A 20581-nucleotide genomic window follows, 5' to 3' on the forward strand; every position below is an offset into this window, starting at 1 on the left:
ACTGGAAATCAACTCCAAAAGGAACCTTCAAAACCATGCAAATACATGGAAATTAAATGCCCTGCTTCTCAATGAGCATTGGGTCAAAAATGAAATCAAAATGGAAATTAAAAAATTCTTCAAACTGAATGACAATAGTCACACAACCTATCAAAACCTCTGGTATACAGCAAAAGTGGTGCTAAAAGGAAAGTTCATAGCCCTAAATGCCTACATCAAAAAGACTGAAAGAGCACAAACAGACAACCTAAGGAACCAGAGAAACAAGAACAAACCAAACCCAAACCCAGCAGAAGAAAGAAATAACAAAGATCAGAGCAGAACTAAATGAAATTGAAACAAACAAACAAATACAAAAGACAAATGAAACAAAATCTGCTTCCTTGAAAAGATAAATAAAATCGATAGACCGTTGGTAAGATTAACCAAGAAGAGAGAAAATCCAAAGAATCTCACTAAGAAATGAAACAGGAAACGAAACTGACACCACTGAAATGCAAAAGATCAGTCAAGATTACTATGAACACTTTACACACATAAACTAGAAAACCTAGAAGAAATGGATAAATTCCTGGAAAAAATACAACCCTCCTAGCTTAAATCAGGAAGAATTAGATACCCTGAACAGACCAATAACAAGCAGTGAGATTGAAATGGCAATTAAAAAATTATCAACAAAATAAGTCCAGGACCAGGAAGATTCACAGCAGAATTCTTCAAAGAAGAATTGGTACCAATCCTTTTGACACTATTCTACAAGATAGAGAAAGAAGGAACCCTCCCTAATTCATTCTATGAAGCCAGCATCACCCTAATACCAAAACCAGGAAAGGACATAACAAAAAAAGAAAACTATGGACCAATATCCCTGATGAATATAGATTCCAAAATCCTTAACAAAATACTAGCTAACTGAATCCAACAATATATCAAAAAGATAATCCACCACGATCAAGTGAGTTTCATACCAGGGATGCAGGGATGGTTTAACATATGCAAGTCAATAAATGTGATACAGCACATAAATATAATTAAAAACAAAATCACATGATCATTTCAATAGATGCAGAAAAAGCATTTGACAAAATCCAGCATCACTTTATGATTACAACTCTCAGCAAAATCAGCATGCAAGGGACATACCTTAATGTAATAAAAGCCATCTGTGACAAACCCACAGCCAACATAATACTGAATGGAGAAAAGTTGAAAGCATTCCCTCTGAGATCTGGAATAAGACAAGAATACCCACTCTCACTACTCCTCTTCAACATAGTACTGGAAGTCCTAGCCAGGGCAATCAGACAAGAGAAATAAATAAAGGGCATCCAAATCGGTAAAGAGGAATTCAAACTGTCACTGTTTGCTGACAATATGATCGTTTACCTTGAAAACCCTAAGGACTCCTCCAGAAATCTCCTAGAACCGATAAAAGAATTTAGCAGAGTTTCCAGATACAAGATTTATGTACACAAATCAGTAGTTGTTCTATACCACAACAGCGACCAAGCAGAGAATCAAATCAAGAACTTAACCCCATTTACAATAGCTGCAAAAAAATAAAATACTTACGAATATACCTAACCAAGGAATCGAAAGACCTCTACGAGGAAAACTACAAAACACTGCTGAAACAAATCATAGATGACATGAACAAATGGAAACACATCCCATGCTCACAGACGGGTAGAATCAATATTGTGAAAATGACCATATAGCCAAAAGCAATCTGCAGATTCAATGCAATCCCAAATACCACCATCATTCTTTGCAGAATTAGAAAAAAACAATTCTAAAATTCATATAGAACCAAAAAAGAGTCTGCATAGCCAAAGCAAGACTAAACAAAAAGAACAAATATGGAGGCATCACACTACTTGATTTCAAACTATACTATAAGGCCATAGTCACCAAAACAGCATGGTACTGGTACAAAAATAGGCACATAGACCAATGGAACAAACAGAATACTTACAGTCAACAGATGTTTGACAAAGCAAACAAAAACATAAAGTAGGGAAAGGACATCCTTTTCAACAAATGGTGCTGAGATAACTAGCTACTCACAATGCAATCAATACCACATGTAGGAGAATGAAACTGGATCCTCACCTCTCACCTTATACAACAATCAACTCAAGATGGATTAAGGACTTAAACCTAAGACTTTAAACTATAAAAATTCTAGAAGACAACATTGGAAAAAGCCTTCTAGACATTGGCGTAGGCAAGGATTTCATGACCAAGAACCCAAAAGCAAATGCAATAAAAACAAAGATAAATAGCTGGGACCTAATTAAACTAAAGAGCTTTTGCTTAGCAAAAGGATCAGTCAGCAGAGTAAACAGACAAGCCACAGAGTGGGAGAAAATCTTCACAATCGGTACATCTGACAAAGGACTAATATCCAGAATCTACAATGAACTCAAACAAATCAGTAAGAAAAAAACAAATAATCCCATCAAAAAGTGGGCTAAGGACATGAATAGACAATTCTCAAAAGAAGATATACAAATGACCAAGAAACATATGGAAAAATGCTCAACATCACTAATGATCAGGGAAAGGCAAATCAAAACCACAATGCTATACTACTTCACTCCTGCAAGAATGGCCATAATCAAAAAATCAAAAAACAGTAGATGTTGGCATCAATGCAGTGAACAGGGAACACTTCTACACTGCTAGTGGGAATGTAAACTAGTACAGCCACCATGGAAAACAGTGTGGAAATTCCTTAAAGAACTAAAAGCAGAGCTACCATTTGATCCAACAATCTGACTACTGGGTATCTACCCAGAGGAAAACAAGTCATTATTAGAAAAAGATACTTGCACACACGTTTATAGCAGCACAATTCACGATTGCAAAATTGTGGAAACAACCCAAATGCCCATTGATCAACAAGTGGATAAAGAAACTGTGGTATATATATAATGGAATACTACACAGACATAAAAAGGAATGAATTAATAGCATTTGCAGTGACCTGGATGAGACTGGAGACTATTATTCTAAGTGAAGTAACTCAGGAATGGAAAACCAAATATCTTATGTTCTCACTGATATGGGGGAGCTAAGCTATGAGGACACAAAGGCATAAGAATGATGCAATGGACTTTAGGGACTTGGGGAGAAGAGTGGGAGGGGGGCAAGAAATAGAAGACTACAAATTTGATGCAGTGTATACTGCTCAGGTGATAAGATGCACCCAAATCTCACAAATCACCATTAAAGAACTTACTCATGTAACCAAATACCTCCTCTACCCCATTAACTTATGGAAAAATATAATAAAAAAAAAGAAACACAGCTTACAGGTAGTAGAGTTGGAATTGAACTCTACATCTGAAATTTCACTATGTATTTATCCAACTAAGAACAATTCATTTTTCTTTAAAGTGTTTAAAACTTTGAACAACCAGCATTTTTCAATGCTTTTAGTTTTTAGGGAGTATAATTCATGTGAAAACCAAACTTTTGGCTAAGTATCACCTGCCCCCAAATTGTGGAAAGTAGGAGTACAGGTTTATAATTTTTACCACTATTAACGGTAAAATTCACTCCTGTGTAATTATGATTTGGCTGTTTATGCCCTGTTACATCCCCAGTAGCTCTTGACCCTGACACTACCCCTTTCTCTCCAATCATAAAACACCTCAGATTGCAAGTCAGAGTGACATCACTGGAGTGACAACTCTAAATTTGTGTTTTATTCTCAAATTGTCCTGCCATCCATCTCACAGTGATGACAACACAGGAGTTTGTTAAGGCATTGGGGATGGCAGGTTGGGAAATGATGAGCCAGTCAATTATTCACAGTTGCGTTTTCATTACACTTATCAAGCACCTGTTGTGTATCAGGCATTGCTGCATTTAGTTCAGAGTCAGTCCTGCCTTTTGATCCAGAAGGGTCCCCTTCTCTACCCATCCTACACCGTGAGGTGAAGGGAACATGACAGCTCAGGTTCCCCTGTGCCCCCAGACCATGCTCGAATTACTTGGGACCTGGAATTCCCCGCCCAAATGACCCAAGCCTTCTCATGGCTTGATGCAGCATCTCCTAGGCCCATCTTCCAGGGGGTGGATAACATCTCTGAAATGCACACTCAGATGGCCAAGAGGTGACTGCTTGCAGGGGACGGGGAAGGGAGATAAATTTTGGACAGACTTTGGGTTTTGGGTTTGTCCTCATAAAGAATGAGGAAACCAGGGAGTAAGAAGGGAAGGGGAGAGGGTTAGACTGGAAGGGTGCCTCCATTTCTACAGTTGCTCAGCCCAAGGGCTGCCAGGAATCCAAGAATGACAAAGATTAATTTAAAATTTTTTTAAAAAAATTTAAAGGCTAATGTAAGCATGCTATCTTTTAAAAAAAATTTTGCTCTCAAGGAGTTTTCAGGCTGGCCAGAAAGGTAGAAAAATAAATAGATCCCATCTGTACAGCAGAATAGGGCTACTTAGGCCAGCCTGACATGCAGATGTAGGAACTGACTGCAAAGAATGAATATTTTATTTTGTTTTATTATTTTATTTTATGTTTTAGAGACAGGGTCTTACTTTGTCACCCTGTCACCCAGAGTTCAATGATGTGATCATGACTCACTGCAGCCTCAAACTCCTAGGCTCAAATGATCCTCTTGCCCCAGCCTCCCAAGAAGCTGATACAGGTGCATGCCACTATGCTCAGCTAATTTTCAATTTTTTTTTTTTTTTTTTTTTTTTTTTTTTTTAGAGACAGGGTCTCCCTGTGTTGCCTATGCTAGTCTCAAACTCCTGGCCTCAAGTGATCTCGCACCTTGACCTCCCAAAGTGTTGGAATTACAGGCATGAGCCACGGTGCCTGGCCAAGGATGAATCTTGTAAACTAGGAAAGAGGATGAAAGGATGAAAAAGATAAACTAGGAAAGAGGAAATTGAGGTCAGGGTTGGGGCGGGGAGGGCGGACAGTGGGAGGGCAGGGTGGAGAGAAAGAGTACTGGCTTGGAGAAGCCATGAGGCATGGAGCAGGAAGGTTTCCAACTCTGCAAAACTGGGCTCAAGGCCCTCCAACCATGCTCTCATTTCTTGCAAAAAAATAAAATAAAATCCTGTACATGCATCTGGAAACAAGTAGAGCCAAATACACATGTGTTTAACTGACACCATCACAGTGTAGGAAAGGAACCGATGCATAGCTTAGTGTTCTTGAAGCAAAAGTCCAAGGTGGAGAAAGTATAAGAAGTGCGTAGAGATGTTGGCACATCTCAGCAAAAGTCATCTCTTACACTAGGAGGTTTAGCCTTATTTGAGAAGTGACAGGGTTTTAAGCACAAAACTGACATGATTAGACTTGATTTCAGTTAGCAATATGGAGGAATTTCAAAAGCATTGAAGACTGAAGATGCAAAGAACCAGTTAGTAGGTAGTTATTATAATCCAGGTGAATGATAATAAGAGCCTGAGCTACATTAATTTGAAATCTCAAAATGAAGATGTCTGTATGCCTTGCTTGCCACATAGTAGGTGCTCAGTAAATAATTATTGAATGAATGAAGTCAATGGCAATAGGATTGGATAGAGAAAGGGTATGTTTTGGAAATATGAAGATTATGAAAATAAAATGTGGGACTGACAAGGTCTGAAGTCAGGGATAACTCCAGGATGTCTTTTTGAATGTCAGGCAGATGACGGTGTCAGTAACTAAAAAGGGATGTCTTCTGAAGGGGATATGATGAAACAAGTTGAGATGACTCAAAGGCAACAAAATATAACCCTAGAAAAGTGGGTATAATTTTTAGTTTGTATCAGAATACCTAGACCATTTGTAAAATGCAGATTCCCAATTCTCATTCCCAGATCTTTCAATTCACAAAAGATGGGATGAAGCCTGGGACTCTGCATTTGGAATGTGCATCCCAGGTGATACTAGGGAAGGGTGAGGACAACTTATTTTGAGAAATTTGTTTAAATCTAGAGCTTTGGTGAGAGGTTGGAAATATAGATTTGGGAATCATGACTTAAAGATAATAAAAACCAATACTGACTAACCACAATGTGACAAACTGTTCTACGCTTTTTACTGTATTGACAAACAGACTTCATGCCTCTCTCAGGTAGATATTATTACTCCCTGTATTTTACAGATCAGAAAACTGAACCATAGAGAGGTTTGTGAGTGGCAAGTGGCATATACAAGATTTGAACTTAGGCAGCCTAAGTTCAAGGCCAAAGCCTGTGTTCTTAACCATTATTCTATTCTAGTCCTTGATGTGCTGTATTACTTGTTGAGAGTAATTAATAGTGGCAAAGGGGATGAGATTGCCCAGGAAGATGTTATGCATGTGGGTCAAATACTGAATCCTGAAGAACATCAAATATGAGTGGCAGATGAAAGTAGAGGATTAGAAGAGACTAAAGAAAAGTCTGTGAACCCATACTGGACTCTTTAAAGATAACACAGAGAGTAAAACTGCAAAGAAACTCTTAATAAATATTTTTTCATAGTAACATTGATGATGAAAACATAAGTATTCTTAGGGACCCTGAAGGAATATTTCACTAAGGTATCATCTAATGGCACGCTGTGATGTTTCTTCATAATATTTTCAACTACACTGTATTTTTTTTAATTGCTGAAAATGGAGGAAGTAACCTGGAGACAATATAATTTACGTTAAGATTTTTTTAAGGAACAAAATGAATGTGTTTTACAGGTAGATGTTAAATAGTGGAAACCAATATGAAGAAAACTGCTTTTATTGCTGATGAGTTATCTATCTCCAACAATAATCAGCATTTGGAATGGGGATTTAAATTCTAGTCTTTTTTGTACAACTCATACTCATATCTCAACTGGATGAACTTGAAAATGCAATTGGTTTTCTTGGTATTTGCAAATACTTAGACCTTATTAATTTTTGGTGTCCACAATCTTTATATAGTCACAGAAACACACTTTAATCTCTTGAATTTTCCTTTATTTGTCAGCAAACATAGTCTGCTAGTACTGGCAAGAATGTTAAATTCACATTAGGAGATACAAAAATAAGGGACTTCTATATAACAATAAAACAATTTTCTGGCAATAATTTAGTCAATCATTGAAACAAATTTTGAAGACTATGGAACCATTTGCTCTGATTGCACGTTCCTTGGCTTTCTGAAATATATTTTCTGTCACTTTGTGGGTCCATGAATCCCTGGGTGCACTAAAAGTTTAAAGAAACAATCAACTTCTTTTTCATTATCCTGTCTCTACTCAGTCACAGGATGGCCTTGATTTATTTGTGTAGTGTAAAAGAATCTCTTTTTTCTCTTGAGGGAGTTCCATCTGAAAAGATATTCCTCATTATAACTAGTCACAAAAATACTTAGAGTAAGCAACTGTCTGAACCCCAAGGTAGAAAATACAGTATTTGTATAAAAGTCTGCCCCAGTCTTTGCTTTCTCCTCATCATGATTTACCTCCTGCTTTTGCCAGAAGATAAGTGATGAATGGGTGGTTTGACACAAGACATGCTATGTGGATGCTAGAAAGACAGGTAAATGCTTTTAAAAAACGTTTTGAACATAACCTGCCACTAAATCAGGAGATTTGGGGTGGGAGAGCAAGAATGCAGAAATGATATTAATACAGTGAGGAGTAAGACCCTGATTTCATCACAGAGATGAATGTAGATCTGCCGCAATTTGCAAATAACACATAATTATGGATAGTTTTTGTAATGCAAAAAATAAACCCTCTAATTATATATAGAACTGATTGTAGATAATGATAGTGATCTACTAGGAATAGATTAAAGGATTGAGACCATTTTTTTCCATCTCATTCAGACATTGAGGTTTTCTGCATTGACCTGTGGAAATGGCATTAATGAGAGACACTGAAGAGAGACTGTCTAGATGGTTGCAGGGGCTTGATTTACACATTTCCCAGCATCTTCCTTGTCAGAAGCCTTTGGGAATATGATTATTCTTAAAACCTCAGCAGGCCCACTAGCTAGTCAAGCAAATGAGAGAAAGGAAAAGGCCCTTCATTTGGATTAGTTTTGTATGACCCAGGGAAATGTTTTAGAACTTTGAAGATTCATCGGAAAACCTTATTTTTCCCTACTCCTACTTCCATGCTTTCTCCTCCCCACTTCTCTCCTCTCTTCCTTTCCTTTACTATTTCTTTTTCTTTCTTAATAGTGTATTCCTTGATCCTAAACAAGCCCTATCAGCTTTTTGTTTTTCTAGGTAAGTAATAAAAGACAGAAATATCTGAAAGTACTTGAAGCTCTCCAGAAAACAAATTCATCTAAAGAACCCCCAAATAGTACTATTTGTTTTCATGAGCTCTCATATTACTCCCTGATATAACAAATTATTCCTATTATCAAAATGGAACAGCAAATTTATGTGATGACCTTGGGCAAGAATAGTGTCTCCTTTACATAGAAAAATGAGATCACCTCCATTAAGCACAGTACTTAAGATCCCATGATGTCAGGTTTTCCTGGCTGCCACTGCCTCTGTTTTCCACTTTCTGCCTAGTGGAAAGAGGCAAGAATGACAGGATGCCTCACAGTTTGCTCATCTAATATATAGTTATTTCTCACAATGTGACCCTACCTCTGAACTTTGATGACCAAAATTGATGGATACTATAAATGGGAAAATATAAAGGTACTTAAAGGAAGGTAAGATTTCTGTATTTCATCCCAATTGGTAAAATATTGACACTAGTAGATTGTGATAAATTGTGTAACATGAAATAACTAAAGCAATCACTAAAAGAATTTATACAAACAGAGACACTCAAAAGCACTCAAGATAAACCAAAATAAAATTGTAAAATATATTCAAGTAACCTGCATGAAGACAGGAGGAAAAAAGCAGAGAACAAAGAACAGAGAAAACAAAGAGCAAACAAAAGCAACAACAACAAAAACAACAACAAACATGGCAGGCATAATCCTTAACCAAACAATAATCACATTAAATTCAAATTGGATAAATACTCCAAGTAAAAGACAGAGATTGGCAGACTGAGTTTTTTTTTTTTTTTTAAGAAAAACTATATGCTGCCTACAAGAAACTCACTTCAATACAGGAAGGTTGAAAAGATGGAAAAAATACCATGAAGATAGTAGTAAAAAACAAAACAGGAGTGATGTATTAACATCAGATAAAATAGAACTCAGAGCAAAGAAAATTATCTGGGACATTACATAACAATAAGTGTCAATCCACCCAGAAGATACAACAATCTTAAAATATATAGAACTGATTGTAGATAATGCACCAAATAACAGAGCTGCAAAATATGTGAAACAAAAACTAATACAACTGAAAAACAAATAGAAAAATCCATAATTATAGTTGGAAACTTCAGCACACTTCTCTCAATAACTAACAGAATGATTAGACAGATAAGTGGTTTATGGTAGAAAAAATTTACCAAAAATGATGATTATGAGGATCACAGAGATAAGAAACATTGAGGAGGAGCAGGTATTTGTAGAAGAGGGGGAAAGAGGGTGAGCTGGGTTTTGGGCAAGTTGAGATATTCAAGAACTGTCAAGGTACAGCTGGATGTCTGAGATGGTGAGAAGGATAGAAATAGACATTTGAAGTCACCTACGTATATGTGGTAATCAAAGCAATGAGCTCAGCTGAGTTTGTCAATAACATTTCATGTCTGTGTAGAAACAGGTTAGCCTACAAAGGTCAAATATCTTAGAGAAAACACAAGTATGTGTATGTTTGGAAAATTAAGGACATATTAATGCTATTCCTATCAAGCTACCATTGACTTTCCTCACAGAATTAGAAAAAATTACTTTGAATTTCATGTGGAATCAAAAAAGAGCCCGTTTAGCCAAGACAATTATAAGCAAAAAGAACAAAGCTAGAGGCATTATGCTACCTGACTTCAAACTATACTACAAGGCTACAGTAACCAAGACAGCATGGTACTGGTACCAAAACAGAAATACAGACCAATGGAAGAGAATAGGGACCTCAGAAATAACACCACACATCTACAACCATCTGATCTTTGACAAACCTGACAAAAACAAGCAATGGGGAAGGGATTCCCTATTTAATAAATGGTGCTGGGAAAACTGGCTAGCCATATGCAGAAAAGAGAAACTAGACCCCTTCCTTACACCTTATACAAAAATTAACTCAAGATGTATTAAAGACTTAAATATAAAACCCAAAACCATAAAAACCCTAGAAGAAAACCTAGGCAATACCATTCAGGAGATAGGCATGGGCAAAGACTTCATAACTAAAACACCAAAAGCAAGTGCAACAAAAGCCAAAATTGACAAATGGGATCTAATCAAACTAAAGAGCTTCTGCACAGAAAAAAAAAAAACAACTATCTCCAGAGTGAACAGGCAACCTACAGAATGGGAGAAAATTTTTGCAATCTACCTGTCTGTCAGATGGGTCTAATATCCAGAATCTATAAGGAACTTAAACAAATTTACAAGAAAAAAACAAACAACCCCATCAAAAAGTGGGTGAAGGATATGAACAGACACTTTTCAAAAGAAAACATGTATGCCGCCAACAAAAATGAAAAAAAAGCTCATCATCACCATTCATAAGAGAAATGCAAAACCACAATGAGATACCATCTCATGCCAGTTAGAATGGCAATTACTAAAACGTCAGGAAACAACAGATGCTGGCAAGGCTATGGAGAAATAGGAACACTTTTACACTATTGGTGGGATTGTAAATTAGATCAACCATTGTGGAAGACAATGTGGTGATTCCTCAAGGATCTAGAACCAGAAATACCATTTGACCCAGCAATCCTATTACTGGGTATGCACACATATGTCTATTGCAGCACTATTTACAATAGCAAAGAGTTGGAACCAACACAAATGCCCATCAATAATAGACTGGATAAAGAAAATGTGGCACATATACACCATGGAATATTATGCAGCCATAAAAAGAATGAGTTCATGTCCTTTTCAGGGACATAGATGAAGCTGGAAGCCATCATTCTCAGCAAACTAACACAGGATCAGAAAACCAAACATGGCATGTTCTCACTCATAAGTGTGAGTTGAACAATGAGAACACACTGACACAGCAAGGGGACCATCACACACTGGGGCCTATCAGGGGTTGGGGGCAAGGTGATAGAGAACATTAGGACAAATACCTAATGCATGTGGGGCTTAAAACCTACATGACAGGTTGATAGGTGCAGCAAACCACCACAGCACGTGTATACCTATGTAACAAACCTGCATGTTCTGCACATGTAGCCCAGAAATTAAAGTAAAAAAAAAAAAAAAAAAAAAAGAAAGGAAAAAAAAGGAAAATTAAGGGCATAGAGCATTTGTTTTTTTAGATGAGTCCTCAAAAGAATGCTGCTGGGCCAGGTGCAGTGGCTTATGCCTGTAATCCCAGCACTTTGGGAGGCTGAGGCAGTTGTATCACCTGAGGTCAGGAGTTTGAGACCAGCCTGGCCAACATGGCAAGACCCTGTCTCTACTAAAAAATACAAAAATTAGCCGGGCGTGGTGGTGTGTGCCTGTAATCCCAGCTACTCAGGACGCTGAGGCACAAGAATCGCTTGAACCTAGGAGGCGGAGGTTGCAGTGAGCCGAGATCACAACATTGCACTCCAGCCTGGGCAACAGGAGCAAAACTCCATCTGAAAAAAAAAGAAAATGACCACAGGATTTCTTGATACTGAAGTCATTAATGATCTTAGCAAGAGGAATTTAGTGGAAGAAAGGGATAAGAAGTCAGCTTGGAGTGGGTAAAGGAGTAAGTAGAAAAATGAAGAAATGGAGATGATAAGTGTAATAAAAAACTTTTTGTGAAATCTGACTATGAAGAAGAGACAGATGTAGCACAACAGGGTGACAGTGACAATAATCAATAATAATTTAACTGTATGTTTTAAAATAACTAAACAAGTATAATTGGATTGTAACACAAAGGACAAATGCTTGAGGGGATGGGTGCCTTATTTTCCATGATTAGATTATTACACATTGCATGCCAGTATCAAAACATTTCATGTACCCCATAAATATACACACCTACTATATACCCCCCCAAAATAAATAAATAAATAAGAAGAGAAAGATGTCAGGCTAAGTGGAGCTAGGGAGGGTTTTGATTAACTGATTGATCATTAGAGGTGTTTTATAATGTTGTGTTTTATTTTGTAATTTTTACGTATGTTTCTCTTTTTTTCTTTTTCTTTTTTTATTTCTTTGAGGGAGGAATACTAGGCAAACTTGTGAGCAAGAGGCTGAGGAAAAGAGAAGGTTGATTCTGTAACTTTTTGCAAAAAGAAGGAAAGGATGAAAATAAAAACAATGGCAAAGGGATTGGTCTTCCACAGGAGGAATGATGCTTGTTCTTAACAAAAAACAGGAGATGCATACCAACGTGATTTGATTGATTGTTTTGTAGGGAGAAATTCAGAGAGTTCTTCTCTAGTGTTTTTATCTTTCTTGATGCTCTTTCTTTGCTAAGTCACATTTATGGAAAATAAGAATGTAAGAATAATATTTGATATTCACAGATCAAGAAACAGTATTTTCTGTACCAAAAAGAGAAAAATATTATTCAAAAAGAGGGAAACTTTTATTTTAAATTCATTTATATAAAAATTCTTATAGTAGTATAAAAATTAAGGCATACTAAGTTTTTGTGTTTTGTTTTTGTTTTTCTCTTTTTAAAAACAGGACTGTGCCCTGTCACCCAGGCTGAGTGCAGTAGCATGATCATATCTACTGCAGCTTCAAACTGCTGAGCTCAGGTGATCCTCCCACCTTAGCCTCCTAGGCCACCAGGACTGCAGGCGTGTGCCATCACGCCCAGCTAATTTTTCATTTTTTCATTTTTGTAGACCCTTGTCCAACATAAGGTCTCACTATGTTGCCCAGGTTCACACTGACTTTTATAGGTAACTAACAATTATCTAATTGTCTTAATTAAAATTAAGAAAGTTACCTAATATTGGCACTGTCCTGGAAAATCAGAATGTGTGGGAACTCTTGGTTGAAAGTGACAAAAAACCCCAGCTAAAACAACTTATGCAGAAAGAAAATATTATCAGCTTAAATAACTGCAATTTTAGGATTAGAGGATGGTTCCAATATGCCTATATTCAAGGCTGTAAATGATGCCACAGAAACCTCAGCTCTGCCTTCAGCTATATTACTGCAGTCTTAGCTAAACTGCAAAATGGCAGCCGTGGAGTCTTGTTTTATTCTCTTGGATCCACATCTGTAAAGAAAATCTAAGCTATCTTTTCCAGAAAATCTAGCAAAATTTCATTGCATTTTATTGGCTTTAATCAGGTCATGTACCAATTCCTGAAATAATTACTGAGTTCAGGGAGGATAAGATGCATTAGACTTAGGTTTATGGTCACAATTGGAGGTGAGTGTTATGTCATGTGGTCTACAATAGGAATAGGTAGATTCCCAAGTTGCTGAGGAAGATCAAATTCTGATTGTTCAAAATACAATCAAATTAGTTAACAACTTCACTTTCCTGCCTAGTATATAGCCTTTGGAGAAAACGGTTAATAGATAGAGCCGATTTCTGATTTGAGTTTCCCTTCTGCTCCTCTTTACTATGAACTTGTCCTGAAGGTGCTGGAGCCCAGTGACATAACTGAAAGGAAGACATCAGATGGATGGATTTTGAACCATGGTGAATCGGTTGTAACAGTAACCAGCAGTTAATACAAGAAAAGAATTCTTAGAAGAAAAAAGGTAAGTATTTCTGTTTTTATTTGCCCTTGAACATACAGAGATCACTATGATTAAAAATGTAAAAAGATGTAATTTCAATATATTTAAACATAAATCCATCAGCATGCATTTTTCTGAGTAATGTCCTGATATAGTTCATTCCTATAATTAGTTTTTGTTGGCCACACTCATTAAGCATATTATATTTGGGCATATGAGGTAATCTCATTTACACGTAGTCAAATACAAAGTAAGATCTCTATGTAGTAAAGCTTATGCTCTGACCCAATGCAACAATATATACACTTCAGTGAAATCAGCTCTAGTAAACTGTGTGTTCCTCAAGAGCCCCAGTTAAGCATCATTCATGTCTGTGTTTCTTTTGCATAGCCCTGGGCTTAGGATGTAATAAGCATCAACGAGGGTTTGCAGATTTGATACTTTAGCGAGCCCTTCCTTTTAGATCTCTTCTAGGCACAGATATTTGAAGGATTCAAAAGCATCATCTCTCCACTGGATTAGGCTTTCAAAACATTTTGATTGGAATCCTGGAGATGGGGTACTGAGCAATAATACCCTTCCCTGTTTCGCTCCCTACCCTTATTTCAGTATATGTATTTCTTTCCTCTGAACTGCATGCTTCTTTCAGTACAGAAATTATACGTTAATTTATAAATTTACTTGTTCATTGGCTCATTTATTTATCCATTAAATACTTATTAATTGTCCTTTATATGTTAGGAAACGTAGCTGTGAAAATAAGTGAGATAAAATCCCATGAGAACACTTGGGGAAGGGTTGAACTTGGCATGCATGATGGCTTCTTCATATCCATTCCTGTCACAATACCCAGCAAAGGATATGGTGTTAGAAATGTTTATTTAACTAACTGATTCAGTAGAGTTGTACCAAATGTAACTCTACTCGGTAGGCTTACTATGTACAGATGCTAAATCAAATCACAAAATATATTATTTTTTTCACCCTCCTCAGTTAACAACTAAATGATGACTACCATTTATTCAAACCTATCATGCAGGAACCTTGCATGTATTACTTTTTAGAAAACATTACAACAGCCTTATAAAAGTCCTCATTTTATATAGGAGGGCACTAAGACTAGAAGCAGCTCGAAAAGTTTTACCCATTAAGCAGCATAGCTAGTATCTCAACTCTGGTCTGAGAACGAAGCCCATGGTTTTATTCTTTGCCGCCTATTGGCTCCAAAACTCTCTTGAAATATTTGCCTCTTCATTCCCTAAATTCCAAAAGGCAGAACCCTAATTTCAGCACCTCCCTTTTCTCTTGCTGCCCTTAATGAACCTTAACTTTTGCCAATAGAAGCTCAACACCTCAAGCTCAATAGAAATTTGTGTGTCTGGTCATGTCAATAACCATTGATCTTCTGCAGTAAAAGACTCCATGTTCATCTCTCTTTTGAATAGATGGGTCATTCAGCCACTATTTTATACATTCTCTGTTATCCCTTCACCTGTCTGGGCTCCATGGGAAAAGAACAAGTGCTTTCAGCAATGCTAGGGCAGGCCTCCCTTGGTTTACAGTTTCCCGGCCTGAGGCAGGTGATCAGCCAGTGAACAGAAAGTCACCAGGGGCATCTCCTGCTCAGATGGGAATCCCATTCTTGTGCACAATAGGCTCTTTGAACTCCAAATGTTCATGATTCTTCTCACTCTTTAAAGGTCCAAATGTGTAAACATCATCAAGAGAGCTTTGTTCTCATTGTTCTTTTACACACAGAATACCTATATTTTGCTCTTGTTTATGAAACCTATTTCTGTTGCATGTTCTTACAGCCACAATGAGGACCTTTTCATTTTGAAGTATTATCTCAGGGCTGTAGTGGAAGCAGATTCAGCTGAAAACCAGGCTTATTGTAAAGAGTATAAACATGAGCTCCCAAAGTGTGGTTGCTAGGGTATCATCACAATAAAAAACATCCACATAGGGCTTATTGCCAGAAGATAATCAAGGACCAAGCTGATGGGAAAAAAAAAATAGTTGCCAGCGGTTCCATTGAGAGGTGGTGTCTGAGGTCAATGTCAGTGAGCATCTTCATCATTGCTTTTTTGAAAGGTTAAAGTTTCCCAGTCTGTATGCGGGAATGAACAAAAAAATGTATACCCTGAAACAATAACATGCAGAGACAAGATAGCGTCAGAAAGATAAAGCCTCTTCAGCTGCGTTTCCTGACAGTCCTGCCCAGCAGGACACTTCCACCTCGAACCTAGAGCTGGGTTTCTAAAGGATAATTATACCAAGTGATGTCATGATGGATGGCTTCTTTCCAACAGCTTCATGGCTTATCTTTTGGGACAGGGAGTTAAGAGAGATAGCAGGCCGTGAACCGTTGTCACCGTATGACTGGGGCAGAGGGAGACAACAGGTTAAATGTTGGCGTTCTAATTCATCTGGGAGTGCAGGGCCTGGGTCCCTGCTTTGGAGTCCTCTGAAATCAATCCTTCATTAATGCCACTTCTTTAACAATACAAACATCGGCCAGGTGCAGTGGCTCACACCTGTAATCCCAACACTTTGGGAGGCCGAGGTGGGTGGATCAGCCGAGGTCAGGAGTTCGATCCCAGCCTGGACAACATGGCCAAACCTTGTCTCTACTAAAAATACAAAAATTAGCTGGGTGTGGTGGCAGGCGCCTGTAATCCCAGCTACTCAGGAGGCTGAGGCAGGAGAATCACCTAAACCCGGGAGGCAGAGGTCGCAGTGAGCCAATATCATGCCATTGCACTCCGGCCTGAGTGACAAGAGAGAAACTCCATCTCAAATAATAATAATAATTATAATTATAATTATACAAATATCAATATATGATCAACTTCACTTATGTATGCAATTTTTAATCCAATTCTTTTGTAGCACTTGCTAAATACTAGAGAACGTTCAAAGCGTATTACATATATTTACTAATCTAATCACTCCTATGATGTAGGTAGTATCATTATTCCTATATTATAAACTAGGAAACTGAGCACAGGGGGGTGTGGTGACCAGTGCAGGTCACATGGCTGATGAGTGGTAAAGCCAGGACTCCACCTGGACCCTGGAGTCTGTCCTTGGCCTTTTCTTTTAACTCACACTGTTGCCTTTTCTGACCATTTTTTAAAAATTATTATTCTTTTAAATACTTTTTTAGGCAAAGCTTTTAAAAATAAATCATTTATTAACAAAAATTCAGAATCATAAGTTTTCATTATAGGATACCTTAAACTTGATAATTTACTTTTTACATTTAAATCACATGTCATTAATGCTTTCAGTCATAGGTGAAGTAGCATTTTTTTTTTTTGAGACGGAGTCTCACTCTGTTGCCCAGGCTGGAGTGCAGTGGCACCATCTCACCTCACTGCAAGCTCCACCTCTTGGGTTCACCCCATTCTCCTGCCCCAGCCTCCCGAGTAGCTGGGACTGCAGGCGCCAGCCACCACACCTGGCTAATTTTTTGTACTTTTAGTAGAGACAGGGTTTCACCGTGTTAGCCAGGATGGACTCGATCTCCTGACCTCGTGATCCGCCTGCCTCAGCCTCCCAAAGTGCTGGGATTACATGCGTGAGCCACTGCGCCCGGCAGCTTATTCTTTAACAATAGCAAAAGAGTTGGCCTCCTGATATTCTTAGCTCATGCTTCTCAAACTGGAGTGTACGTATCAACGTGTGTGTTTGCAGCCAGCTCATGGGAAATACGAGGTACATCTCTCAAGAGTATCCACATTTATGTGAAGATTTCAAGGAAATTACGTGAAATCAAATCTGAATATTTATTACAAGGCAGAAGGAAAAATGAATAAGATGAAAGAGGAGAAATCCAAGAAATGTTGGGTTTACAGCAGTAAGTTGGAAGACTAGCCTGAGACTGAGGGACTCTGGGTTTGTGTTCATGACCCCCTGCCATTTTAAACCACTTTGGTTGAAAAGTCTAGCGGGATGTGGTGGCTCAGGCCAGGTGCAGTGGCTCAAGCCTGTAATCCCAGCACTTTGGGATACTGAGGTGGGCAGATCACCTGAGGTCAGGAGTTCAAGGCCAGCCTGGCCAACATGGTGAAACCCTGTCTCTACTAAAAATACAAAAATTAGCTGGACATGGTGGTACATGCCTATAATCCCAGCTACTCAGGAGGCTGAGACAGGAGAATTGCTTAAGCCTGGAAGGTAGAGGTTGTAGTGAGGAGAGCATGCCACTGCACTCCAGCCTGGGTGACAGAGTGAGACTCTGTCTCAAAAAAAAAAACAAAAGAAAGAAAGAAAAAAAGAGTCTAAGAAGCAATTAAAAAAAATTCAAGTGCCATTTGTATAAAGTTTCACAAGACTTTTTATGTTGTTTTCCTCAGAAATATTTATAATTTTTAGCACTTTTGTAATTTGAGGGAACGACTAGAATTAAATGGTGAAAATAGAAAAGGAGCTTCTGATGTGAGTGCCATAAGCAATGTATTTTACAAAGTGTGTGAAGAGAAATGAAAAACAAACTTCTTTATTTGAGAGAAAGAAAGGAAGGAAAGAAAGAAAGAGAAAGGAAGAAAGGAAGGAAGGAAAGAAAGAAAGAAAAGAAAAGGAGGGAGGGAGGAAGGAAGGGAGGGAGGGATGGGGAGGGAGAGAGAGAGAGAGGGAAGGGAGGGAGGAAGGAAGGAAGGAAGGAACGAAGGAAACAGAAAATAATTTACTCTTCCCATATTTAGCTTAGTCATCTCTTAGGGACCACCGTGTTCTCTGAACCATCTCTGTGGGCACAACATTATCTCAGGCACTGTGGGCAGCTTCCAGGGAAAAGAGGAGACATGCTTTTAACCCATTAGCAGCTTCCAAGAAAATGATGCAGATGAAATGAACATAATCTATAATGCCTGGAAACACAAACAAACACATATGTATATAGCAGCTGAGGATTGCTTTGTTTTGGTAATATGATTACATATGTGTAAGAAAGAAATTATAGGGTCTAGGTCTATTCATTTGGTGCTTCAGTCCCCCATAGATGTAACACACACCAATTCAAATAGGTAGGCTTATGCATGCCCCCTGTATATAAAGCGTCTGTCTATCTTCACGTAATAAAGCAAATATAGACAAAGGCATTCTCTAAACCAAAGGAGTTTGGGCTGTTTGGAGATCCTGTTATTAGGTCACAGGAATAATTCAGGTTAAATTTTCACAGTCCCTCTATAAGTGAACCATTGAATACATAAAGCATTGAACACACAAGGGCTGTTGGCTTTGATGGTTGGCAAAGTCCACACACCCAGCTCTACCTTTCTTTGCACCACCCTACCCTGCTACATTTTCAAATCCACAGGCAATGTTGAGTGAAAGCTTACTCAACACTGCAGGCACCCCAGGAGTTATCCTGGTGAAATACATAAATGTTCTGTCCTTTCAGATACAGCAAGACTCTTTCAGATTTTAGTGGCTAAAATATAAAGTTTGTAGCCAGTCTTGGGGAAACCTCAACTTCAAACATGAGACAAAATTCAATTCAAGAATCTAGCTTTGCCAAGTTTCTCACTCTATCTGTTTGACATCTTGGTCTTGTCCTTCATCAGGCTTTACTTAAAAAGTAAAACTGAATAAAAATTGATTTCACAATCAACAAAACTTAGCCACTCTCCTGATGTGTTACTTAGCTTAAAAACAATTCTAATTCAGTTCTATAATATAATTATATAACTTAATTAGGTAATTCTACTTTTCAGGCAAAAGTATAACCTAATAAAATCTTCTCAAATTTTATACTCAACAAATCCATGAAGCACAAAAAGGGCCAAACATTTTCTATTACAAAAAAAAGAATAGTTTTTTAAGAATCCATTGAAGACTCCACAATTATACTTTTACATAAATTGACTAAAAATTTTTCCCCAAATCAGAAAGTCGAAATCCAAGAAACTATCAACAAATATACTTTAAAAGGAACAAATAAGTTACTATGCAAAAGAAGCAGAGACTATGTTCAAGAGAAGCATAAATATTCAAATATTTATTTTTTCAGATTTTGTTGGTCTGAATAGCTACTGAGTTTTATACTAATGTCTTTAAATCTGTTACTATGCATAACATTCTACTTGTGGCATGTTTTAAGACACTCTTTGGTCATGTTTTTGCACATTTATAAAATAACAAATTCAGTGTTATTACTCAACAAACTCATAACATAACTGATCTTGTAAAAACGTCATCACTGATGGGAAAGATCCATGCCTACGTTATGACTAAGGGAAGCAGCCCAGTAGCCTCCGGGAGCAAGCAGCTATATGCATCATCGGGTGCATTTGCAAGGTTGGAATTCAGAGCTTTTGCAACAGGCTTCATCCAGGAGGCAGGAAAATAGCATGGGTGTGACTTGGGAAAAGAGCTCCAAGTTAACTGTGGGAAGCCATGGGAAGCCGTGGGAAGGCCACTTGGTTCCCATCTTCTCCCTCTTTCCTGCACTATATCTAAACAAACCTTTTGACAACCGGTAAACTGGGAATTTTGACTGTAGGATCCACAGTTCTAAGATATTTAAAATCTTCCCCTTTTGCAAGGGAAATTATTCAGCTCTGAAAAATTTAGTAGGCTGTTTGGGGGCTGGGTTCCTAGGGAACTTAACTGTTTTAAATAATGCTCTTTGACCTCTAAGGAACAGAGACCCACTTTACTTCAGGGCAGGGCTTGGGTGTTACCTGAAAATATCCACACAGACCAGAATGGATCAGAAGGTCATAAGGCCCTAGATGTTCCCCAGTTTTAGGCCCTGGTCTCTCTCCTTTGATCTCTTTCATGTCCCCTGTCTCATGACCTCTCTGACTCAGTATCTCTCGGTGACATCACTTTCTTCTTCTTTTTTTTTTTTAACC

At 37.9% G+C, this 20581-nt stretch overlaps 1 annotated feature.

Annotated features, from left to right (window-relative positions):
- Positions 15075-15680: an enhancer, noted in NCBI's record as "OCT4-NANOG hESC enhancer chr6:134905935-134906540 (GRCh37/hg19 assembly coordinates)". NCBI's record gives its function as "activates a minimal SCP1, AML or CMV promoter by ChIP-STARR-seq in naive H9 embryonic stem cells {active_cell/tissue: H9 hESC(naive)}" and the evidence as "EXISTENCE:reporter gene assay evidence [ECO:0000049][PMID:30033119]".

The sequence above is a fragment of the Homo sapiens genome, chromosome 6, assembly GCF_000001405.40.
Source record: "Homo sapiens chromosome 6, GRCh38.p14 Primary Assembly".
In the NCBI taxonomy this organism is placed as follows: domain Eukaryota; kingdom Metazoa; phylum Chordata; class Mammalia; order Primates; family Hominidae; genus Homo; species Homo sapiens.